The following is a 26,580-nucleotide window of genomic DNA, read 5'->3' on the forward strand; positions in this document are numbered from 1 at the left end:
GAAGGACATGTTTGCTTACCCTTCTGCCATGATTGTAAGTTTCCTAAGGCCTCACCAGCCATGGGGAACTGTGAGTCAATTAAATCTTTTATTAAAAAAAATAGGACTAATACAACAATGTAGCACCATCACTAGGAAAAGAACACTTATTGCAGTATGAGAGCTGAAACAACAAGGCAGGGCATGGCCTCATTTGACCTTAAATGAGAATGCATGCATTGGGTAACTCAAATTCTAGAGCCCTACGTGCATGTCTGTGAAAGCATTGCTGAGTAACAAGTTCGGACAAAAAAGCACTGCTGACTGTTGATTGTGAATTTTACCAAGTAGGAAATTCACAAACATGGAATCCTCAAATAATGAAGATTGACTATATAGAAGGTTTAAGGCAACTTCCATATAAATGAACCTAATTAACAATTTGCCCCTTAAATTTAGCTTATCAACAGAAGTTAACATAATGACAAAAACAATATAAAACACTATAACCAGCTGATTTCAGTAACAATTCATTCCTCATTCCCATTTTTAATTCTATTATTGACCCCCAAAATGATTTTCATTTTAGTATTTGTAATAATTATTACAAATTTTGATAGTTTCATAACATATGATGTAGAAATTTTGATAGTTTTATAACATGATGATTTTGTGGATGTATAACTTTTTATTTTGAAATGAATCTAGATTCACAGGAAGTTGCAAAAACAGTTCACAGAGGTCCTGTGTACCCTTAACCCAGTTTCCTCCAGTGGAAACATGTAACTATAATCCAGTATCAAAACTAGGAAAATGACATTGGTACAAGCCACAGACCTTATTAAGACTTTACCAACCAGTTTTACATCCACTTGTGTGTGTAGTTCTATGTAATTTTATCACACGTAGATTTGTGTAACAATCACCCTAAGATACAGAACTGCTCTATCACCAGAGACATCCCTTCTGCCACTCCTTTATATATTTTTTCATACTGAAACTCTCCCACACCCCCATTCTCCTACCCTGTCCCTAAATCCTGAAAATTATTACTCTCTTCTCCGTATGCATACTTTTGTCATTTCTAGAATATTTGTAAATGAAATTTTGTAGTATGAGACCTGTAAAGATTGCTTTTTTTTTTTTTTTTTGCTTAGCATACTGCCTCTGAGATTCAACCAAGTTGTTATATGAGTAGATTGTTTCTTTTTATTGCTAAGTAGTATACCATGGTATGAATGTGCCAGTTTGTTTAACCATTTACTCATTAGAAATTTGGGTGGTTGTCAGTTTTTGGTTATTACAAATTAAGCTGCTGTGTACATTCATGTATAGGTTTTTGTGTGAACATCATTTTTTGTTTGCCAGAGAAAAATGCCCAAGGGAAGGACGGCTGGATCATATGGCAGTTGCATGCTTATTTATTTATTTTATTTTTGAGACGGAGTTTCACTCTTGTTGCCCAGGCTAGAGTGCAATGGCGCGATCTCGGCTCACCACAACCTCTGCCTCTCGGGTTCAAGTGATTCTCCTGCCTCAGCCTCACGAGTAGCTAGGATTACAGGCATGCGCCACCATGCCGGGCTAATTTTTCTATTTTTTTTAGTCAAGATGCGGTTTCTCCATGTTGGTCAGGCTGGTCTTGAACTCCCGACCTCAGGTGATCCACCTGCCTCAGCCTCCCAAAGTGCTGGGAATACATGCGTGAGCCACTGTGCCTGGCCTGCGTGCTTACTTATTTTTTTAAAGATTGGGTCTTGCTATGTTGCTCAGGATGGCCTTGAACTCCTGGGCTCCAGCAATCCTCCTGCTTTGGCTTCCTGAGTAGCTGGAACTACAAGCACATGCCACTGGGCATGGCTGCATGTTTAGTTTTTAAAGATGATGCCAAATTGTTTTCTGGAGTGGCTGTGCTATCTTACATTCCCTAATGGCAATACACAAGTGAGTTGTTGTCTCCCATCCTCACTGGCATTTGGTACTGTTATTGTTTTCTTTTTCAGCTATTCTAACAAGTATATAGTTACATCTCATTGTGGTTTTCATATGCATTTCCTTAATGGCTATGATGTTGAACATCTTTTGATAAGCCCATTTGCCATCAGTGTATTCTCTCTGGTGAAAAGTCTATTCATGTCTTTTTCTTGTTTTCTAACTGGATTGCCTTTTTTTTTTTACCTACTGAACTTTGAAAGTGCTTTATATGTTCCAGATGTAAGTCCTTGCTCAGATAAACGATCTGCAAATGCTTTTTTCCCCATTCCTAGCTTATCTTCTCACCTTCCTAACAGAGTCTTTCGCAGAGCAAAAGTTTCTGATTTTCATGAAAGTGAATTTCTTCTTTCTTTTATAGATTGTGTTTTTGGTATCATGTCTAAGAACTCCTTATCCAAGCTGAGATCCTGAAGATGTTCTCTCATGTTTTCTTCTAGACGTTTTATAGCTTCACATTTTACATTTAAGCCCAAGGTTCATTCGGAATTATTTTTTGCATGAGGTTAGGGTGAAGTTCATTTTTTTGGTCTCTGGATGTCCAATTGCTCTAGCAACATTTCTTGAAGACTATTTTTCCTCTACTGAATGCACCTTTGTTAAAAATCAATGGAAAGAAAATCAATTGAGCATATTTGCATGGGTCTGTTTTCGGAATCTTTATTCTGTTCCACAGATCTGTGTGTCTATTTCTGTGGTCACATTGTCTTTCTTACTACAGCTATATGCTAAGGCTTAACAGTGGATAGAGTATTTCCATATACTTCTTCTATTTCAAAATTGTTTTAGCTATTCTAGTTTCTTTGCCTTCCCAGGTAAGTGTCAGAATAAGCTTGCCTACCTATGAACATCTTAGCGGGATTTTGATAGGAACTGCAATAAACCTTCAGATAAATTTGTGGTGAACTGATGTCATTATGTTGAGTCTTTTAATCCATGAGCACACTACATCTCTCCATTTATTTAGATTTCCTTTTTTTTTTTAAAAAAAAAAATCAGTATTTTATAGTTTATAACATAGAAACCTTACACATTTTGTTATATTTGTACCTAAGTATTTCATTTTAAGGTTATTATCTTTTATTTTACTTTGAGGTGGAATCTTGCTCTGTCACCCAGGCTGGAATGCAGTGGCGTGAGCTCAGCTCATTGCAACCTCCCCCTCCTGGGTTCAAGGGATTCTCATGACTCACCCTCCCAAGTAGCTGGGATTATAGGCACCCACCACCACGCCTAGCTAATTTTTTTCTGTTTTTAGTAGAGACGGGGTTTCGCCATGTGGCCAGGCTGGTCTCCAACTCCTGACCTCAGGTGATTCACCTGCCTCAGCCTCCCAAAGTGCTGGGATTACAGGTGTGAGCCACCATGACCGGCTGCCCAAAGTTATTTTAAATGGTATTTTAAAAATTGTTTATTTCCATGTGTTCTTTGCTAGTATTTAAAAGTATAGTTGACTCATGAACAATATGGGTTTGAACAGTGGGACAACTTATACTTGGATTTTCTTCCACCTCTGCTACTCCTTAAGACTGCATGACCAACCCCTCCTCTTCCTTAGCCTACTCAATGTGAAGATGATGAAGATGAAGACCTTTATGGTGATCCACTTCCATTTAAGGAATAGTAAACATATTTTCTCTTCCTTATGATTTTCTTAGTAACATTTTCTCTACCTTACTTACTGTAAAAGCATAGTAGCATATAATACGTACATAAAATTATGTGTTAATCAACTGTTCATGTTATCAGTAAGGCTTTAGGTCAACAGTAGGCTATTTGTGTTAAAAGTTAAGTTCTGGGGGAGTGAGTTATATGCAGATTTTTCAGCTGTGTGTTTTGGGGAGGGGGTGGGGGCGGGATCAGTGCCCCTAACCCCTGGGTTGTTTATAAGTCAAATGAACAATTGTTTTTTTATGTTTTCATCGTATCCAGTGACCTTGCTGAACTTACTAGTTCCAAGTTTTCCTTTCTTTTTTTTTTAAGATTCCTTAGGATTTTCCATGCAGACCATCATGTTCTCTTCAAATAGGGATAATTTTATTTCTTCTTTTCCAATCTGAATACCTGCTAATTCCTCTCCTTGGCTTTTTGTGCTGGGTACAACTTCCAGTATTATGTTGAATAAGAGTGGTGCAAGAGAACATTCACCTCTCAGTTGTGTGCAATAATTCATTTTAAATATTGAACTCCATTTGCTAATATTGTTTAGGATATCTGCATCAATTATCACGGACAATGGTCTGTGGGGTGTTTTCCATATTATATTGGTCTCATCTTGGAACCATGGTAATATTAATCTCATATTATTATTCTCTCAATTTCTATTTTCTGGAAGAGATTGTATAGTTTCTGTTCTTTAAATCTTTAGAATTCTCCAGTGAAACCATCTGGGCCTTAAACTTTCCTTTCTAACCATGAATTACATTTAATTGTTGTAAGACTATTTAAATGATCTATTTAGAACTACATGTGTTTAACAGTTTGTACTTTTGATACAACCTGTGGGCCAGTAGTGATAACCCATTTCATTCTTGATAGTGGTAATTTATGGCTTCTTTTTCCTTTGTCAGACTTGATAAAGGTTTGTCAATTTAATTGATCTTTCCAAACAACCATCTTTTTGTTGTAGTTTCATTAATTATCCTTCCATCTTGACTTTTTATTTTTTTTTATTATTTTTTTTTTTTGAGACAGTCTTGCTCTGTCACCCAGGCTGGAGTGCAATGGCGCGATCTTGGCTCACTGCAACCTCCACCTCCTGGGTTCACACGATTCTCCTGTCTCAGCCTCCCGAGTAGCTGGGATTACAGGCGCATACCGCCATGCCTGGCTAATTTTTTGTATTTCAGTAGAGACAGGGGTTTCACTGTGTTGCCCAGGCTAGTCTCAAACTCCTGAACTCAGGCAATCCACCTGCCTCGGCCTCCCAAAGTGCTAGGATTACAGGCGTGAGCCACCGCACCCAGCCTTTCTTTTTCTGGTTTCTTAAAGGTTGGAAGCTTAAGATTATTGATCTGAAACACTCCCTCTTTTCAAATGTAAACATTTAGTGCTATGAACTTCCTTGTTAGCAATGCTTTAACCATGTCCCTCAAATTTGGGTATGTTGCATTTTCATTTTAGTTATATATTTCCTTTAAAATCCCATGACTATTTCAAAATGTGTTATTTACCTTACTTTTTGCAGAGATAAGGTCTCACTATGTTTCCCAGGCTGGTCTCAAATTCCTAGCCTCAAGCAAGCCCCTTGCCCCCTACTTACTTTCCAAGTGTCTTTGGAGATTTACTTTTCTGTTTGCATGTTGTCAGAGAACATATTCTGTATGATTTCAATTTATTTATTTATTTATGAGACGGAGTCTCGCTCTGTCACCCAGGCTGGAGTGTAGTGGCGCAATCTCAGCTCACTGCAAGCTCCGCCTCCTGGGCTCACACCATTCTCCTGCCTCAGCCTCCCAAGTAGCTGGGACTACAGGCGGCCGCCACCATGCCCGGCTATTTTTTTGTATTTTTAGTAGAGACAGGGTTTCACCGTGTAAGCCAGGATGGTCCCAATCTCCTGACCTTGTGATCTGCCCACCTCAGCCTCCCAAAGTGCTGGGATTACAGACGTGAGCCACTGTGCCTAGCCTCAATTCCTTTAACTATGTTGACATGTATCTCATGGCCCAAGATGTTGTCTGTTTTGATGCATGTTCCACAGGTGCTTGAAAGGTCTATTCTGCTACTGTTAGGTACAATAATCTATAAATGTCAATTAGATCCTGTTGATTGACAGTGTTAGATTCTTCAATATTCTTCCTGATTTTCTGATTAGTTTTATCAATTGAGAGTACAAAGTCTCCAACTATAATTCAAAATTTGTCCATTTCTCCTTTCAGTTTTATCAGTTTTGCTTCATATATTCTGAAGGCTCAAGTGATCCTCCCACCTCAGCCTCCTGAGTAGCTGGCACCACAGGCACATGTCACCATGGCTGGATAATTCTTGTATTTTTTGTAGAGATGGGGTTTTTCCATGTTGCCAAACTGGTGTCAAACTCCTGGGCTCAAACAAATCTCCCACCTTGGCCTTCCAAAGTGCTGGGATTACAGGTATGAGCCACCATGACTGGCCCTGTAGTTTTTTGTTTTTTAATGTCAATTTTATTTTTCTTTCTCTATCTTTTTTTTTAGAGACAGGGTCTCACTCTGTCATCCAGAGTGGAGTGCAGTGCTGTGATCATAGCTCACTGCAGCCTTGAACTTCTGGGCTTAAGCCATCCTCCTGCTTCAGCTTCCCAAATAATGTTGAATTTAGACGGTTTAAGTGTAGGCAGCTCTTTAAATTTAACCAACTCTCATCCTATGGATTCAGAGACCACAGCTGAATATCCAGGAGATAACGATTCCTGGCTATTCCTTCTCAGTATTTTCTTTTTTTTTTAATTTTTTATTTTACTTTAAGTTCTGGGGTGCATGTGCAGAATATGCAGGTTTGTTACATAGATGTATGTGTGCCATGGTGGTTTGCTGCACCTATTGACCTATGTCATCTAAGTTCCCTTCCCTTGACCCCCACCCTCCAACAGACCCCAGTGTGTGTTGTTTCCCTCCCCGTGTCCATGTGTTCTCATTGTTCATCTCCCACGTATAAGTGAGAACATGTGGTGTTTGGTTTTCTGTTCCTGTATTTGCAGAGGATGATGGCTTCCAGCTTCATCCATGTCTCTGCAAAGGACATGATCTCATTCCTTTTTATGGCCGCATATTCCATGATGTATATATACCACATTTTCTTAATCCAGTCTATATCACTGATGGGCATTTGGGTTGGTTCCATGTCTCTGTTACTGTAAATATTACCGCAATAAACATATGTGTGCATGTGTCTTTATGGCAGAATGATTTATATTCCTTTGGGTATATACCCAGTAATCGGACTGCTGGGTCAAATGGTATTTCTGGTTCTGATCCTTGAGGAATTGTCACATTGTCTTCCACAATGGTTGAACTAATTTACATTTACATTCTTGCTTGATTCTTGGGATCAAGCGTTCCTCCCACCTCAGCTTCCCAAGCAGCTAGGACTACTGTACCACACAGGCTGATTTTTAAATCTTTTTCTAGAGACAGGGCCTTGCTATGTTGCACAGGCTGGTCTCAAACTCCTAGCCTCAGGGCATGAGCCACAGTGCCCAATGGTGTAAAAAATTCCTATTTATCCACGGCCTCACCAGCATCTATTGTTTCTTGACTTTTCAATAACTTCTATTCTGACTTGCGTGAGATGGTATCTCATCGTGGTTTTGATTTGTATTTCTCTAATGATCAGTGATGTTGAGCTTTTCTTGGCTCTGTAGTTTTCTTCTAAGTTCTTTAACTTGTTTTGGTATTAAAATAATGCTCCTCTAAAAGCATGAGTCAGAGAATATTCCTTCTACTTGTATCTTCTGAAAGAGATTGTAAAGAATTGGTGTAACTTCTTCCTTAAATGTCTACTAGTACTCACCAGTGAACCTATCTGGTCCTGGTGCTGTATTGGAAGGTTATTAGTTATTGATTCAATTTGTTTAATAGATAGATTTAGGCCTATTCAGATCATATATTTCTTCTTGTGTGACTTTTTGCAGATAGTGTCTTTCAAGGAATTGGTACATTTCATCTAGGTCACCAAATTTATGGGCCCAGAGTTGTTCATAGTATCCCTTATCCTTTTAATGCCCATAGGATCTGTAGTGATGTCCTCTCTTGATTTCTGATATCAGTAATCTGTGCTCCCTTTTTTTTCTTAGTTATCCTGGCTAGAGGCTTATCAACTTTACTGATCTTTTCAAAGACCCAGATTTTCATTTTGTTGATTTTTTTCTATTAATTTCCTGTTTTTAATTTCATTCATTTCTGCTCTAATTTTTATTATTTTCTTCTGCTTATTTTGGATTTAATTTGTCCTCTTTTTTCTAGTTTCCTAAGGTGTAAACGTAAATTACTGATTTTAGATATTTCTTGTTTTCTAATACATGCATTCAATGCTATAAATTTCTTTCTAAGTACTGCTTTTGCTTTATCCTACAAATTTTGTTTTCCTTTTCATTTAGTTCAAGGTATTTTAACATTTCTCCTGAGATTTCTTCTTTGATGCTTTTATTATTTAGAAGTGTGCTGTTTAATCTCAAAGAATTTGGGTATTTTCCAGCTATCTTTGGGTTACTTATATCTAGTGTGGGCCCCCTACTTGATCATCTTAATTAATTCCATTGTGGTCTGATATGATTTGGCTCTGTGTCCCCAACCAAATCTCACCTTGTATCTCCCATAATTCCCATGTTTTGTGGGAGGGATCCAGTGGGAGATGACTGAACTATGGGGGCAAGTCTTTCCCGTGCTATTCTCATGATAGTGAATGGGTCTCATGAGATCTGATGGTTTTAAAAACAGGAGTTTCTCTGCATAAGCTCTCTCTCTTTGCCTGCTGCCATCCATGTAAGATGTGACTTGCTTCTCCTTGCCTTCTGCCATGATTGTGAGGCTTCCCCAGCCACGTGGAACTGTAAGTCCATTATAAACCTCTTTCTTTTGTAAATTGCCCAGTCTCGAGTATGTCTTTATCAGTAGTGTGAAAATGGATTAATACATGGTCTGAGAGGTGACTGTATGATTTCCACTATTTCAAGTCTCTTAACGTGTATTATGGCCAAGGTATGGTCTATCTTGGTGAGTCCTGTGTGTGCTTGAGAAGAATGTCTAACGTGCTACTGTTGAATGGAATAGTCTACAGATGTCTATTATATCAAGTTGACTGATGGTGTTGCTGAGTTCAACTATGTCCTTAGTGATTTTCTGTCTGTTGGATACGCCCATTTCTGATAACGGGGTATTTCCAACTGTAATAGTGGATTTCTCTATTTCTCCTTGCAGTTCTATTAGTTTTTGCCTGAGTTTTTATTTTAATTAAATTTTCAGTTCTAAGTCTTCTATTCAGTTATTACATATTTCATTTCTTTGATGAGATTTTCTAGCTTTTCATTTGTTTCAAAAGTGTCTGTAACTGCTTGTCCAAGTATCTTCATGGTAGCTGCTTTAAAAGTTTCTCAGTTAATTATAGTTCCAACACCTGTGTCAATCTTGATGTTGGCATCTATTATCTTTTCTCATTCAAGTTGAGATTTTCTTGGTGTGTGTTAAGATGAGCGATTTTTACTATATCCTGGTCAACTGGGGCATTTTTATGAGACTCTAGATTATATTTAATCTTTCACTTCAGCAAGACTTTACTAAAACTGTGCTGGCAGGAACAATGGCTGGCAGGGAAAGGGGAGCACTGACTCTTTAATACTATGCAGAGGTGAAGTTCTGGCTTTCCACAGGGCCTCCATTTATACCCTGGGGAGTATCCCTGTTACCACTGCAAAGGGCTGGAAGGCCATGGTCCCCACTCATCCTCCACCAACACTGTAGGAGGCCTTGTTACTGCTGGATGTGGTGGAGGTCCAGGCTCTCCACTTTGTTCACTGACTCTAACCCTAGTGGAAAGGACAACTCATCACCACAAAGCAAGGGTAGATATCAACTGACATTGCAGGAGCAGGATGATGGCACAGAAGGGAATGCATTATTGCTGTGTGATCCTACGTGGATCACCACTGGCACCATGGGGAAGGAAAGGGGTACCTTGTTCCTGCTGGGTAGGGGGTCAGAGTCCAGGATCCCCACTCAACCTCCTCTGCCATCACCCCAGTGGGAAACGGGAGGGGTATATTTAATGTCAAACAGGTTTCCAACTTTCTAGGCTGCCCTTTTCTTAGTTCACTGGCAAGAAAGAAGAGGTTTTTCTTGGGGCTTTTGGGGGAGGTCTGTGCCAGCTGGCATTTCTGTGTTGGGGGCATCTAGTCTGAGATATGGAGGAAACAAAAAGAAAATTGAGGGAACTTACTGCTATGCCATTCCCTGAGTCTCACATTCCCTAGTTGGTTGGTCTTCTCTCCAGTTTCGAAAGTCTTTTCATATTTGTTTCATAAAAATGTCCAGGGTTTTTAGGTGTACTTAGTGGGAAGGATGCAGAACGTGCATCTATTCTATTTTGAGTGGAAACATAAGTACATGTATGTTTAAGGAATTAGAGACCTGAATTAACCTAATTTTATATAGAGTCAAAATAAAAGATGAACATAAACTAAGAATCAGAGAAATACAGTAATAGTTACTAAAAAAATTCCCAACCACAGAAATATTACCTTTCTCAGCTGTCCTCCTGATCTTAGGAATGGTGAATTTCTTCAAAGGATTGACTTCACGAGTATTCAACACGGGTTTGCTAGTTGAGCTCATTTGCCACAGTGTATCCTGTTTAGCAGTTTCTTTCATTTCCATTTTGTTGGCCTAAAATCAACCCAAGGTTATTAAGCAAAAAGGTCAATAAATACATAAAAGGCAATGGCAGTACAATCATTTAAAAGTTCTTCAACAAAAGTAAATGGTAAAATGTTCTTAGTCAACTGTCAGAAAGTTTCCATCTCAATTTGCCAGTTGCCCAAAAAAGAAAATGAGTTTACAACTTTGGTTTTTATATAATATGAAAAATATCAGCTGGGCATGGTGACTCACACCTGTAATCCCAGCACTTTGAGAGGCTGAGGTGGGCAGATCACTTGAGGCTAGGAGTTTGAGACCAGCCTGGCCAACATGGTGAAACTCCGTCTCTACTAAAAATACAAAAAAATTAGCTGGGTGTGGTGGCACATACCTGTAATTCCAGCTACTTGGGAGGCTGAGGCACGAGAACAGCTTGAACCCGGGAGGCGGAGGTTGCAGTGAGCTGAGATCACTCCACTGCACTCCAGCCTGGGCGACACAGCAAGACTCTATCTCAATATATATATTTCGCATATGTATATATTTCACTTATACATACATTTCACATATATATTTCGCACATATATATTTCACATATATATTTCATATATATATATATATATATATATATATATATATATATATGAATTTTTGTTTCTAATGCATTTTTTCCTCGTAATTCATGTAACTGCTATTAGGTAACCAAAAGTCTCCCTGCTCCTGAAAAGCTCAAAAACTTACACCCATAACAATTTTTATACACATTTGGTAAAATTCTTACCAAATACTCCATTTTTTTTTCTTTCTTTCTTTTGAGACAGGGTCTCTCTGTGTTGCCCAGGCTGGTTTTGAACACCTGGGCTCAAGTGATCCTCCTGCCTCAGACTCCCAAAGTGCTGGAATTACAGGCATGAGCCACCATGCCCAGCCCAAATACTCCATTTTTAAAAAGCATTTTTTTCCCTATACATTTCTGTGACTAAAACGATACTCTCTTTAAATCAAGATCTCTGGCTTTAGAAGAAACTTCAAAAAGTTGTAAACTAACTATTGCTGACTATTCCTACAGCTGATGGCCAACAACAGCCAATCGCTTATTGACTACTGTTCCATGGTATCATTCTATAAATGCTTAAGACAACATCAAATATTGCTATACCAGAAGTATCAAAAATATTCCTCCCCTTCCTTTTTCCCTCTCCTTTCTCTCTCTCCCCAAACTCCCCTGCAACCTCCATCCCCTGCCAAATATTGATTCTTAACCTCTTTAAGTAGAACTCAAGCTGGATTTCAAAAGAAAGCTATGGAGTATACACACAGGGAAATATATATAAGCAGGTATTTTTCGTACCATTTCGTAACATGGTTGATGGCCCTCCTGACACCTATCAACTGCTTAGTTCCAACATTAGATCACAATCCAAATTAAAAGATGCTAAAATTCTACAGAAAGATCACAAAGGATAAGGTTCTAAGAAGGTTCACAAGGATGTCCCTCTTAATCCCCTCCTGTTCTTTATGAAAGGTGATCTTGCAATCACCCAATCAAACATGGATCAGGGAATGAAAAAGACCTCTAGAAAAAAAGAGAAGAAAGCCAGCCCTTCTTCCATTCAGCCACAATGACAGACAATAGTGGGGTACTGCTTTCTAACAAGAATACTCCTAAGATGCACCAGCTCTAGAGATACTTGTCAAGGCTGCCATGTTCACCTCGCAGTTTAGTAAGGGGAAGAATGGAAAATAGTTTAGAATGTCTTATGCTATAAAAACATCTTCGATTAATCATGATCTGTAACAACAGCACATAAAGGTAAAGAATAATCAGTTGAATATACTTTACTTGAACAGCCAAGTGCTGGGACAATCCTCAAAGCACAATCCTCAATACTGTCTTTAACTACAGTTAAGTTACATATTCAGTTTGGGAGGCCGAGGTGGGTGGATCACCAGGTCAGGAGTTTGAGACCAGTTTGGCCAATATAGTGAAACTCCGTCTCTACTAAAAATACAAACAATTAGCCGGGTGTGGTGGTGTGTGCCTGTAATCCCAGCTAATCGGGAGGCTGAGGCAGAAGAATCACTTGAACCCGGGAGGTGGAGGTTGCAGCGAGCAGAGATCGCACCATTGCACTCCAGCCTGGGAAACAGTATGAGACTCCGGCTCAAAGAAAAAAAAATTACATATTCAAGAAAGCTCAATGATTTCAGCTATAGGGTTTCTCTAGCATAATTTACTAACAAAGGAAAGATTTATGAAGTTCACTTCTGTTCCTCAGTGCTTACTTAGGATAATACTTTGCCACAAAAAGCTAAGTTTACAACTAATAAAAGATGAATAATCAGGACACAATGGTATTCAATATCCTTCATTAAATAAGTTGTGCTCAGCGATTTTTCAGTTATTACCTTTTAAGTAGGAATAACGTCTCTTTAACTTCAGCCCAAACTTCAACCATGTTAAAGTGATAACTTCATATTTTTTTTGTTTGGGTTTTTTTGGTGTGGGATATTAGACCTTTGATATATATTTCTTTATGCTCATGCAACACAGACCTATAACCTTTATATTTATATGTTACATATTACAAATTATATCATATGAAATAGTCCTACAATGATTATATATATTTATGTATTAGTTATATACATATATATATATATATATACATATATATATATATGTATAAGTAAAATCAGGAAGTTTGAATTCTGAGGATTCATGCTGAGGCTGTCTTCTGGAGTCCTGGGCTATTCTAGACAGAGAAAGAAATCAATTCTAAAACATTCAGAAATAATGTACACGGCAATACATATACCATGTACTTCATAGTACATATGGTATATAAAGTATATACCATATACTTTAACAGGTATTCAAAATAATAACTAAAGAACAAAGGAACCAAAAACAAGAGTTTGCTAACAATTTAAACATCTATTTATATAGGTTTTAAGAGAATGTATGTTATGAACAACTTTAAGCGAATACATTTAGATATTAGACAAAATAATTCTTAGGAAAAAAGCTACCAAAATTGATTCAAGAAGAAATAAAAACAATGAATAATCCTGTTATTATTAGGAGGAAATTAAATCAGTAGAAATTCAATAAAAGTAAAAATGATAATACATCATAAATCAGCTGAGTTCATCTCAGAAATGCAAATATTTGCCATTGTCTAGCTCACCTCCCACTCCCTTCTCAATCTCCTTTGATTTCTACCTCCATTACTCTACCTAAATAGCAATCTTCAAAGTCATCAATGATTATCCACATCAGTCATTTGCGGTTCATGACTCACGTGGCCTCTCTCTGTTTAACTCTTGACCACTCTGTTCTTCAAATAACACAGCTTGCCAGACTTCTATGACTTCATAATCCTGATTTTCTTGGTCTCTTAGTAACTCACCTGTCTGTATCTAGCCTTTATTATTTACTAATTTTTGCTTAAAAGAAAATATTCTTTATATTTTTATTTTTTAATATTTCATCAAACCTAACCTTTGAAAACTTGGTAAATAAAAATAGAACTGTGGTTTTAGTTTGCATTTAATTCATTATCAGTGACATTGAGCTATTTTTTCTGTGAATCACTTGTTCTTATCTTTTTGTCCATATTTTCCCACAAAGATAGTATTGTAGTTAATGATTTATAAGGACTCCATATACAAATAAATTAGTTTTGTCTGTCATATGTATTTTAATATTTTTGTCTTTTAATTTTGTTTCTACATGAGGAAGATTCCTCACACAGAAAAACTAATTTCTGTATAGTCTCATTTCTGAATCATTTTTTTTCCTTTGAGAATAGGTCTCACTAGTGTTGCCCAGGCTGGTCTCAAACTCCTGAGCTCAAGCGATCAATAAATGCCTTGGAGAATTCTGGTTTGTCCTCATTGCACTGTGTGGGGTGAGTGAGGGCACCGTCATGGGAAGATGCTGGCTAACTGCACACTGATTTTTGATCCTCATGCCTCAGCCTCCCCAATGGCTAAGTAGCTAGGATTACAGGCACATGCCAACCATGCTTGGCTATTTCTGAATCTTTTATTACACATCATCACCAAGAGTGTATGGGAGTTCCAGTTTCTCCATATTCTCATCAACACCTTATGTTGGTAGTTTTTACTTTCTGCCAACCTGACAGGAGCAAATGATAACTGATTGTGGTTAGTTTGCATTTTCTCCCCGCACCCCCCCTTTTTTTTTTCGACAATGTCTTGCTCTGTTGCCTGGGCTGGAGTGAAGTGGCGTGATCTCAGCACACTGCAACCTCTGTCTCCTGGGTTCAAGCGATTCTCCTGGCTCAGCCTCCCAAGTAGCTGGGACTACAGGCATGTGCCACCACGCCTGGCTAATTTTTGTAGAGATGAGGGAGGTTCACCATGTTGGCCAGGCTGGTCTCAGCTTCCTGACCTCAAGTGATCTGCCCGCCTCAGCCTCCCAAAGTGCCTGTAGGCATAAGCCACTGAATCCAGCCCCCAATTTTTGAGAATGATCATGTACTAAGTATATTTATTGGTCATGTTTCCACATCTGTGAAATACCCATTCAAGTTTTTTACCTGATTTTCTATCAGTTTGTTTATTCTATGTATTTGCAAGAAATCTTTATATGAGATACTATCTTTTTTGCTAATTATATTTATTGCAAGTAATTCCCCCCACTTTTAAAAATTGTATTTTCATTTTCTAAAATAGGTATGTTTAATTTTAGTCCCAACTACGAATATTTTTCTTTATATTTTGTGCTTTCATTTTTGCTTTTGATCAACTTTAAGAAATACTTCTCCCCAAGATCATAAAGATATCCCATATATTTTCTTCTAAAACTTTCATAGTTTTGCCTTTTACCTTTAAGTCTTTACTTTGCCTCAAATTCATTTTTTGTCTATGGTAAAAAATAAAGGTTTGAGTTTTCCATGTGAATATCGAACTGCTAGCATTTTTTAAAACAACCTTTCTTATTCCTATTTATCTGTAATGCCATCTCTGACATAAACCCATTTTCCACATATGTATGAATTCTGGGCTCTGGGCTCTGTTTCATTGGTGTCTTTCTGTATTCATGCATCAACACCATATTGTAACAAATCTTGATACATGCTTGAGCAAAACCAGAAGAAAAAAAAAACAAATCTTGTTCTTCCACAGCCTCTTTGCACTTTTATACACATTTTAAATTAGGCCTATCTAACAATAAATCTTGTTTAGGTTTTAACTGGAACTTCACTGAACCCAGTGATCGATCTTAAGATAAGTTATACTGTTATATTAGTTTTCCTATCTGTGAACATGGTATTCAGTTCATTAATGTCTTTCAATACTTTTATAATTTTTTTCCCTGAGGGTTTTTACACTTCTTTTAAAGTATTTATTCTAAGGTACTTTATAATTTTTACGTTACTATATATGGTATCTTTAAAACTTATTGTATTCACTACTATGTTTAAAATGATGTTGTAGCTGGGCGCAGTGGCTCACGCCTGTAATCCCAGCACTTTGGGAGGCCGAGGCAGGCGGATCACAAGGTCAGGAGATCGAGACCATCCTGGCTAACACGGTAAAACCCCGTCTCTACTAAAAATGCAAAAAATTAGCCGGGCGTGGTTGCAGGCGCCTGTAGTCCCAGCTACTTGGGAGGCTGAGGCAGGAGAACAGCGTGAACCCGGGAGGTGGAGCTTGCAGTGAGCCGAGATTGTGCCACTGCACTCCAGCCTGGGCGACAGAGCGAGACTCTGCCTCAAAAAAAAAAAAAAAAAAGATGTTGATACAGATAATAAAAATGGCTAACACGTATATAACACTTACCAGGTACCAGACACTTTTCTAAATGCTTTAGATATATACTGATCCATTTAATCTTCACAACATCCCTATGAGATACCCTTATTTTAAATTAGAAAACAAAAGTGCAGGGAAGTTAAATAATATGTCCAAGGACACAGAGCTAGGAAGGGCAGAATCTGGAATTCAAAGCTAGGCAGTGTGGCACCAGAGTGAATGCACTCAATCACGAGGCAAATGACTCCCTGAAACCAATTTCTATATATTGGCTACCCAGCAACCTTGTTAAGCTCTTACTAATTGTAATAATTTAGCTTCATCAACCACCATATCCTCTATGAATAATGGACAGTACAATGACTTACGGTTTTGTTTCTTCCCATCTGATTCTTATGCTATTTATTTCTTGTACCTAGTGCAATGTTGAATATAACTGATAATGACAGGTATCTTGATCTTGCCCTTGATTTTAAAGGGAATGTTTTAAATTTTTTACAATTTAATATGATAAATTCTATTCTTTAGTAGACTTGCTGCCATCAGGCTTAATTTTCCTGGGTAGAAAATTCTAGAATGACTGCTACTTTCTCTCAGCACTCTCAAGATGTTATCACCTCCAATTTAATTGTCATTCATTTATGGGCAATCTTTTCCTCCGGCAGCTTTTAGTATCATCTTTGTCTCTTATGTCCTGCATTTTCATCATGATGTTCTAGGCTAAGTATTTGATGAACTTCTTATATCTAACTTTTGGTATCTTTCAACAATTATGTGAAATTCTCAGAAACTTTATCTTTAAATATTGTTGTGACATCATTCTATTTCCTTAGTATAGAACTTCTTTTACCTATGTTCAAATTTCTATCTTTATTCTTCATGTTTCTTAACCCTTCTTCATATCTAAAAATCATATCATGTTTCTTCATATCTAACATCTGGTTCACTGACTCTCTTCAGCTAGGTCTAATCTGCTTCTAGTCCATTGAGTTAACTATAATTATTACTATCTTCATTAATAAAGGTTATATTTGGTTCTTAAAAAAATCTGCTTCTCACATTTTAAAGCCTTTCTCATTTCTTTAAAAATATACTGTATTTAAACTGGGTGTGATGGTTTACACCTGTACTTCCTGCTACGTGGCAGGCTGTGGTGGGAGAACTGCTTGAGCCTATGAGTTCAAAGCTGTAGTGAGCTATGACTGTACTCCAGCCTGGGCAACATAGCAATGTAGCAAGAAAAAAAATTCTGTCTCTAAAAAAAATCCGTATTTGATAATTCCAACATCTTAAGTCTCAACTCCAATTCTCCTATTTTTGTGTGTGTTATCGTTTGTTTATAATACCCTGCTTCCAGTATGATTGATATATATTATTAATTCATTCACTATTTCCATAACTCATATTCTTTAAAGCTTGGAACAGGCATAAAGACAGACATCTAAGACCAATAAAATAGGAAGAAGAGTTCCAAGATAAGCCTTCACATATATGGTGAAATGATGTTCCACAAGGGTGCCAAGACCATTCAGTGGGAGAAAGCACAGTCTGCAACAAATAGTGCCAGGAAAACTGGATATCCATGTGCAAAAGAATGAAGTTGGATTCTTACTTTAAACCATGTAAAAAAATTAACTGCAAATGGGTCAAAGATTAAAGATAAGAGTTAAAACTATCAAACTGTTAGAAAACAAAAAACATAAAGAAAAAGCCTAATGTGAAGGTATTGGGAGGTGGGGCCTTCAGAAGCTGATTAGGTATGAAAGGTGGTGCCTTCATGAAGGTACCCTTACAAACAGACTGTGAAGACCTCCTTTGTAGCTTCCACCATGTGAAGATGCAGCGAAAAGACAGCTGTCTGTGGACCAGGAAGCAGTCCCTCACCAGCTACCAAATCTGCCAGCACCTTGATCTTGGATTCCCCAGCCTCCAGAACTGTGACAAAGAAATTTCTGTTGTCTATAAGTTACCCAGTTTATGGTATTTTGTTACAGCAGCCTGAATGCACCAAGACAGAGGATTTTTAGAAGATCTCCTATAGGTTAGTTTGAACTGATCTTTAGTCAGCAAGAGCATAATCTGTATGGTAAGATGGAAAAGGCCCATACCAAAAAAAATATGTAGTATAATGACTTAGATGTCAACCTTGCACAAAATGACTGTCAACAGTGAGCCACGATTGCACCACTGCACTCCAGCCTAGGCGACAAAGCGAGACTCCATCTCAAAAAAAAAAAAAAAAAAAAAAAAAGACTGTCAACAAATGACTGCTGAATTGGTGATGGGGTACTGAAGGGGTAAAGTTAAATAATACATTGCTTTTCATGGACTAGAAGTTTGAAACCAAGCTTTGTTGAAGGGTCAGAGGATGCCCCTAAGAGGCTATCAGTAAAATCCATCTATTAATAATCCTCTTATTGGACTTAAAGAATGTTGCTGACCTTTCTCTGCCAATTAAGGCATGAGTATCTGGTTAAGTATTAGATCTTTTTTTTTTTTTAACGGAGCTCAGACTCAACACCTATGAAGCCATTATGTGACATTCCATTAGGTAAATGTATAGGTTATTCAAGGGTTTACATGTCAACACCTTTTAAACACATGCTTTTTTTTTTTTTTTTTTTTTTTTGAGCAGAGTCTCACTGTGTCCCCAGGCTGGAGTGCAGTGGTGCGATCTCGGCTCACTGTAACCTCTGCCTCTCAGGTTCAAGCAATTCCCCTGCCTCAGCCTCCCAAGTAGCTGGGACTACAGGCATCTGCCACCACACCTGGCTAATTTTTTGTATTTTAGTAGAGACGGGGTTTCACCATGTTGGCCAGGATGATCTCGATCTCCTGACCTCGTGATCCATCCACCTTGGCCTCCCAAAGTGCTGAGATTACAATAGGTGTGAGCTACCATGCCTGGCCAAACACATACATTTAAAGAAAGTTCAGTACCATCACAGTGACTTGTGAAGTTCTTTCATTTTTTCTCAAATCTTTTAATGTGAAGTTCGACTATTGGTACCTTGGAACTTGGGAGAAGACTGGAACATCTGGAATGCCTAAATGCAGGACAATGACGACCCGTAAAGTTTTTTTAAACTTCCCCTCAATCTTATACATATGAGGTAGAAGTTATTAAAAAAAGTGTTTCTGGGTTATCTCCATCCTCTTTATATCAAATGAATAGAAAACTAGAAGCCAAAGAGCAAAGAATGCATGGCAGTAGTTTTATCACGCTTTTAATTTTATTTAAAATGGTTATTAGGACGTAGGCCATTTTTCATCTATTTTCACTCATCTTGTTTACTTTGCCACTGCCAAATCTCAGTCTTTTAGAAACAGATTACCAAATTCTGTTGGAGAAGATGAACCATCTATTCAGTCCACTTCCTTAGAGGGCATTAGTGTGATCCAGAGACAAAGGCTTATAGCAACTACGTTAATAATTCCAGTAGTTACCTCAGCTCACTACCAGAACCATACGATTAAAAAAAAAAAAGTCAACATAACTCCCCAAAAGAATGCCCCCATTCTGTTGATATTTGTTTTACTTAAGTTTAAAAGATTTAGACAAGCAGAACCTGTGTGCTTCTTAGAATCAGTGCCCATATTGACCACTTCCTCAGAAAGATATGCAGTATCAAAAGAAAGCCTCATACATTAGAATGCACTACACATCTCTAAACCCTTAAAAATTTATAGTAAAACTGTAGTAATTTATTTGGGGAGAATAAAATCTTAGTATCTGGATAAAAGTAATAAATCTATTATGAAGTGCTAACAAAGCCTCTTCCAGATTTATTTTGAAGACTCTAAGACTGAAAGCAATTTTTTCCCCCAATGCAAAAAAGTCTAGAACTGATCAGAGTGACCATTTAAAATATGTGGGGTGGTGGGAGGGTATCTAAATTCTCAGGGCCAACCAGTGACAAGTAGCTAAAGATAACCTGGCTAGGAAATTCACACCTTTGTGATTTAACAAACCAACCTTTCACTTCCCTTCCAAATTGTCTTTACAAAATCGGGTTGAAAAAAATTTTTTTGAAAGGATTTATGAAATAAAATATTCTGAACAAGAAGTCGGCAGACGTAGGTATCTTGTCCTGATTCTGCCACTCACTAGATGTCTGCTCCTAAGCTTTACTTTCCTCATTTGTGTTTTGGTAAGGTTTAAAGTTGTATTGTAAACTGTAAAATATTTTGCCTCCTCCTAACACCTATCCCTCTTCCTACCACTTTCAGGCTCTATCTACATTTTCTCTGTGGCTCCACATATAGGCATATGCAAGAAATTGTACACTGTATGCAAGCCGATGCCTTAAAAATTGGATAGCCTCATTACATTAAACAGTCCAAATTCCTCCTCTACCTTTCCAATTACTTAGAACATTTATTTGCCTAGAGTATTTCCTTCCATGACTATGGTATTTTTGCTTTTTAAATGTCAATAGTGGGTCCAATTCCCATCTGCTGAGAGTGAATTTCACTTTAGAATCAACCAAAAATCATTTAAAATCCATATGATTAATATGTGGGTAACCAAATGTGACAAAACCACTTTTGACTAAAAATATAAAAATTTTAAGAATCTGTCTAAAAAGCAACTAATTCTCTTTTAAGAGTCAAGATCTCACTCTGACACCCAGGCTGGAGTGCAATGGTACAATTACAGTTCATTGTAACCTTGAATTCCTGGGCTCAAGCAATCCTTCTGCCTCAGCCTCCTAAGTAGCTAGGATTGCAAGCACATGCCACCTCACCAGACTAATTTTTTATTTTATTTTTTGAGAGACAAGGTCTTGCTATGTTGCCCAGGCTGGTCTCAAACTCCTCACCTCAAGCAATCCTCCTGCCTCTGCCTCTCAAGTGCTGGGATTACTGGCATGAGCCACTAAGCTGGGCCTCATTTTCTTGCCCTGCTTATGTATTGGTTCAAACAGTAATTCCAAACCTTGAATACCACAAATGTTCTAAGCGATATTTGCATATTGGCTTGACTTTCAAATTAGTTATTGAAAGTGTCAATACCTACCCTAAATTAAGGTCAATTATGTACGGGACAATATTCTCCACTGGACTACAATTTACCCATTTTTCTATCTCCAGCACAAAGTATACTTCCTTATAAAATAAATACCTGCTATGGTCTGAATGCTCGTGCCCCCGTGAAACTCACATGTTGAAACCTAAACATCAGAGTGATGGTATTAAGAGGTGAGGCCTTTGGAGATGATTAAGTCGAGAACAGACCCCTCGTGAATGGGATTAGCATACTTATTAAAGACCCTCAGGGGAGCTAGCTACCTCCTTCCACCACGCAATAACACAATGAAAATGCACCACCTATGAGAAAGCACCCATCATCCCAGACACTGAATCTGCCAGCACCTTGATCTTGGACTTCTCTGCTTCCAGAACTGTGAAAAATAAATTTATGTTGTTTATGAGTTACCCAGTTTATATTATGTTGTAGTGGCCCGAGTAGATTAAGACAGTACCCAATAACTATTATCATCAAGAATAAATATTTACATACTTTAAAGTATTCCAATGTGTGATAAAAGACACTCTTCATCTATCTTCTTTATTGCCGAATTATTTATAAATCAATTGTAAAGTAGTTAAAATAAATCAACAAGGTATAAATAAAGCAGTAACAAAGCCATTATTTGAAATACTTACCACTCTTCAATGGCATCCAGCATTACACAGTTATAATCAGTACTCAGTCCATACATGAAAACTGATAAGGGAACATCTACAAAATAAAAATAAAAACAGAAACATGTAGAGAATTATGATCAGAAGCTCCCCCAGCCCAATAATTATCTCTTCATTGTCTTCTCTATTCATTTTTTTCCTCCTGGTTTCTGTCTCCCTTTCACTCCTGTTCCATTCTGGGGGAGGGAGCTGTCTGTTTTCTGCATATCTCAGTTCCTTCTCTCAAGCCTTTCCATTCCTCCCTCTTCTTTCCCTCCTCTTTTCTCAATAAGCTTTTCTCTTTTTCTTCCCTTCAGTACATTCTCATCTGCTATCCAGAGTCCCAGTGTCAGCTCACCAATCTCACGCAGCTCTACTTGGGAAAACCACCTGTAACGCAGCACATGAGCTTGCTCTAGTGTTTTTACATACAGCACAAAACATTGATTTTTAGTCAATCACTGCAGTTATGATACATGCTACACACAGTATAGGTAGCTTACATACAGTATCTCATTTTATCTTCACAGATTGATGGTGTTGCTCTCATTTTCAGATGAGAACAACAGACTCAGAAAGGTTAAGAAACTTATCCGAGGTAACCAAACTGGTAAGTTGGTTTTCAAGTCCAGGCCTGATGCTTAAGTATGGATCTAAACCACTACACTATTCAAACTCCGTTCTTTTTGTGTGTGCGTGTGAGACAGTCTCACTCACTCTATCACCCAGGTTGGAGTACAGTGGCATGATTTTGGCTCACGGCTCACTGCAACCTCCGCTGCCTGGGTTCAAGCGATTCTCCTGCTTCAGCCTCCTGAGTAGCTGGGATTACAGGCATGTGCCACCGTGCCCGGCTAATTTTTGTATTTCTAGTAGAGATGGGGTTTCACCATGTCTTGAACTCCTGACCTCTAGTGATCTGTCCGCCTCAGCCTGCCAAAGTGCTGGGATTACAAGAGTAAGCCATGGCACCTGGCCCCAACTCCGTTCTTGTATTTCTTTCTAGAGGCATTTAAACCCTAACTCTGACCGTATGCACCATGGAGACAACAGAAAACTATAATTAGCCCAAATCCTAATGACCTATTATAATGAGCTTTCATGTTCCTGTGAAGCTAGACAACTTTTAACTTATTTCGTGATTTCAAGATAATACTAGTGATTATAAGGTATATCTCTATATGGTACTAATTAATATATTTAAAATGCTATGCATTTTCAAGAAAAGGTAACTTTTATTGGTGAAACATTTAGCAAAATTTGAGATTTACTCCAAATTCTAGATCTTTTTTCTTTTCTCCAAGTTAAGCATCCAAAAAAAGGTCAAAAGCTATTTAAAGCTGACACTGTAGATTGGTCTTTGAAAATATTTTAGAACTCATCATATAAATAAAAGAACATCTTATCCTTTACTGACTTACTAGTTCGTGTATATTTTACTCAAGTGCTTTAATTGTCATTGTCTAAGAGACCCAAAGAAGTAAACGTAGAGAATAAAAAGAAATAATCAGGGACAAATATAACCATGCAATATCAGGGTAATTAAAATGAGAGACTGGCATATAAAAATAAAATGTCAAATAATTTGGGAACCAGAAATTCTGAGTACTGTGATAGTGATGATCCATCTCTCTCACCAGCATTCACATAAGGATATCATTAGTAACATGAAATATTTAGCAACAATTATATGAGTAATATGTGTATTTGAAAACTGATGACTGATGACATTTCTATGTCTACTGTAATTATAGTAAGTTGAAAGATAGTTTTTAAGTTAGTACATTAATAAGAATCTGAAGCAAACTTGTAAGTTAACACAACTGTCATGTATAAGAAAGGAAATATGCATGAAGATGTTACCAATTGTCTTAATTTGATCATGAAAGTTCTCAAGGGAGGATGTCAACACAAAGACACTTGCACAGAGCTGTTCCAGACTTTCTGGAATGGCAAAAGAGTGGCATACAAAATCCCTGCAATAGGAAAAAGAAAAGTTGGCTACAGGACACTGAAATTACAGAACCACACCAACCACAGGTTTTAACAAAGAAGGTACTGATTTGGTAAACCTTTCTACAATTCATGGGTGATATTCCATGAAAAGAAAAACTAGGGCTGGGCATGGTGGCTCACACCTGTAATCCCAGCACTTTGGGAGGCCAAGGCAGGAAGCTTGCTTGAGGTCAGGAGTTTGAGACCAGCTCGGGCAACATAGTGGGACCAAAAAGTTAAAAAATTAGCCAGGCGTGCCTGTAGTCCTAGCTACTCAGGAGGCTGAGGTGCGAGGATAACTTGAGCCTAGGAAGTCAAGGCTGCAATGAGCTGTGTTTGTGCCACTGCACTCCAGCCTGGTTGACAGAATAAGAGCCTGTCTCAAAACAAACAAACAAAAAAAGAAAATGAAAAACCAAAATGGTCTTCAATAGCTTTTTTCTCTACCAGAAGCTATCTAGTAGAGTACCTATAAATTTAATCTGCAGAAGATTAATCTGCACAGGAATATAGTGTTTGCATAGATATGGTTGAAAATATTTAACTAAAGTTCCTATTAAATACAAGAATTCTGTATTGATTAACATTTCAATTTTTCCTCCTTAAAACCACTTGTTTAGCAAGAAAAAAAGGCTTACAGAAGAGTTTGGAAAAAAGGCCTCAGTTTCATCTGTTTTCAATCTCTGTTTAAGGAGATGCTAAGGATGTGTTTCATAATAAGAATCCAAGTGACAAGGAGTCAAGTCTGTAACAACTGTGTTTAGCTGTGAGAAAAAATCCAGAAGAAATGCCCATTTCCCATTCTTCAGGAAATTGTATGGGAGTACAGAAAACAGATAAACAATATCAACTTAAGCAACGTATGTTTGAGTATATAATAATATTGGAAAAATTAAGCTTGAAATAAAAAGAAACAGAAGCAGAGAAATGAAGTAATCAGTGTGGTAAGAGTTGGGTAAAAATCTATTCCACTCAACCTCAATTATTTAGACAAGTAAGTCTGAGGAAGTTTTCAAAGTCTGAAAAAAGTCTTATGTTGAAAGAGAAGATCTTAACTTCTGGAATATGGAAAGGCATAGAGCTAGAAAAAACTACTACTTAACAAAGTTTGTCACCTGGACATGTCCTATACTTCCTAATTATAGATCACTGGCTACGCAAGCTGGGGGACACCTAACAAGTACATCATGAAATTACCTGTATTTCTGGTCTAGTGAACTAGGGGAAGTGGTTCTCAAACTGTGGTCCCTAGATCAGCAGCATCAGCACAACCTGGGAACTTGTTGGCAATGCAAATCCTCTGGCTTCATCCCAGACCTACTGAATCTAGAGGCTGGGCCCGGAAATCTGTGGTTTGACAAGTTCTCCAGGTGATTCTGATGTAAGATAAGTTTGAGATCCGCTGGTCTAAGATAATTCTGAGGAAGGCATCTAATCAGGTATATAAGAACTATTTTTTCCTTTTCCTCCTTTTTTTTTTTTTTTCCTTAATGTATCAGGAATCTCTTTTAGCCAGAGTCACTATTAGGAAAAAGAAATACTTGCAACTGGGAACTTCACTTTCAGGCTTAAAGCTCCTGCAGAGGAAGAAACCAAAAGATAAATGAAAACGTGATTTTGCTTTTTGCAGGGGGAGGGCAGGAAGGGGGGAAGATAGGCATTCAATTAACAAATTATCCAGTGGCTACCTTGTTTCAGGCACTCTGCAAGAAGGAAGACAAGGAAGTAGAAAAGAACTGTGAAGGTCACTAACAATTTTAACTTGGGTATCATTCAATGTAGTACTAACACAGGTTGCCAATTCCTGGTATACACATGCAGTAATATCCACATGGGCAATAAAATATTTATAGTGAAGTAACAGACCAGCAAAGCAAAAAACTATGGTTCATCCTTGATGATCAAAGGGATTGGTGATTCTCCAACTTCAGTGTGTATCAGAATCACCTAGAGGGCTTATTAAAATACAGATTACTGGGTCCCACCTCCAGAGTTTCTAATTCTGTATGTTTAAGGCCCAAGAATTTTTATTTCTCATAAATTCCCAGGTGACATTGATAGTGAAGAGAAACGACAGTTTGAGAACCACCAATCTAGGTGATGAAGCACAGTAGAATTTAAGTATTCCAGGAAGGAAATGTCTGAGGATTACCAGTACATTTCTCAAGGTGTTCATATTTATTGCACAGACTTTGTCTGTTGCCCCTCAGGGAAAAGGCAAGAGAGGGATTATGCTTTTAAACTATGTGGTTAAACTATTTTATTTTGATAATGCATATTACATAGTCTATGTTGAATCAACCAACCTCCATTATGAAGGGTTTCCCAAACTAGAAGCCAAAACTGGCACTCAAAGATTTCCATGATTTTGTGATGACTCAAATTATAATCTTGTTTTAATGACCTATGCTGTATGGATGTATTTCTCTAAAAATTTGGGGCAGGCTCTCCTCTAGGTCCAAGGAGGATCCTGTATCTATCTAATTATATAGTCAAATGAGAGCAGACTTAAAAATAATTTACATGTTTAAAAGACTGTCCCAAGAGCCCAGGCTATGGGGAGGAGTACTTCCAGTCCAGCTGCTTTTCATCACGGGGAAAAATCAAAGTTAAGGGGCCCCCAGGGGTTAGGACTCCCTTGGTTTCTTTCCCTTTGGAGTCTAGGAGCTGCAGTACAAACAGATTGAGTTCCACAAAAAGGCCAAGGTCATCCTGGTTGCAGAGAAAGGTGAGAAACAGCTCAACTTTTCACTCAATCCTTCAGTCCTAGTCCTTCCTTCAGCTTTCTCAAAAAGGACATATTCTGACT

The 26,580-nt window shown here is 37.8% G+C and overlaps 1 protein-coding gene and 1 long non-coding RNA gene across 3 annotated transcripts in view; one reads left to right on the forward strand and one right to left on the reverse strand.

Annotated features, from left to right (window-relative positions):
• Positions 1-26,580, reverse strand: part of TEX15 (testis expressed 15, meiosis and synapsis associated) — an 81,465-nt gene that overhangs the window by 45,440 nt on the left and 9,445 nt on the right. Inside the window, exons 1-2 of one of the 2 annotated variants that reach the window (NR_146525.2) lie at positions 11,653-11,723; positions 10,184-10,328 (exon numbers count right to left, since the gene is read on the reverse strand). Coding sequence is in view for 1 of the 2 variants with exons in the window: in NM_001350162.2 (NP_001337091.1) it covers positions 10,184-10,319 (136 nt within the window). In the remaining variant the exon portion in view is untranslated. Of the gene's footprint in view, positions 1-10,183; positions 10,329-11,652; positions 11,724-21,758; positions 21,835-26,580 lie in introns of those variants that run through there. The other variant, NM_001350162.2, reaches the window with a different exon arrangement.
• LOC105379357 (uncharacterized) lies at positions 12,027-24,695 on the forward strand. Its single transcript, XR_949636.3, has 3 exons — positions 12,027-12,114; positions 22,307-22,386; positions 24,392-24,695. It is a non-coding gene; the product is annotated as an uncharacterized LOC105379357 (long non-coding RNA).

This window comes from Homo sapiens, chromosome 8, assembly GCF_000001405.40.
Source record: "Homo sapiens chromosome 8, GRCh38.p14 Primary Assembly".
Taxonomy (NCBI): domain Eukaryota; kingdom Metazoa; phylum Chordata; class Mammalia; order Primates; family Hominidae; genus Homo; species Homo sapiens.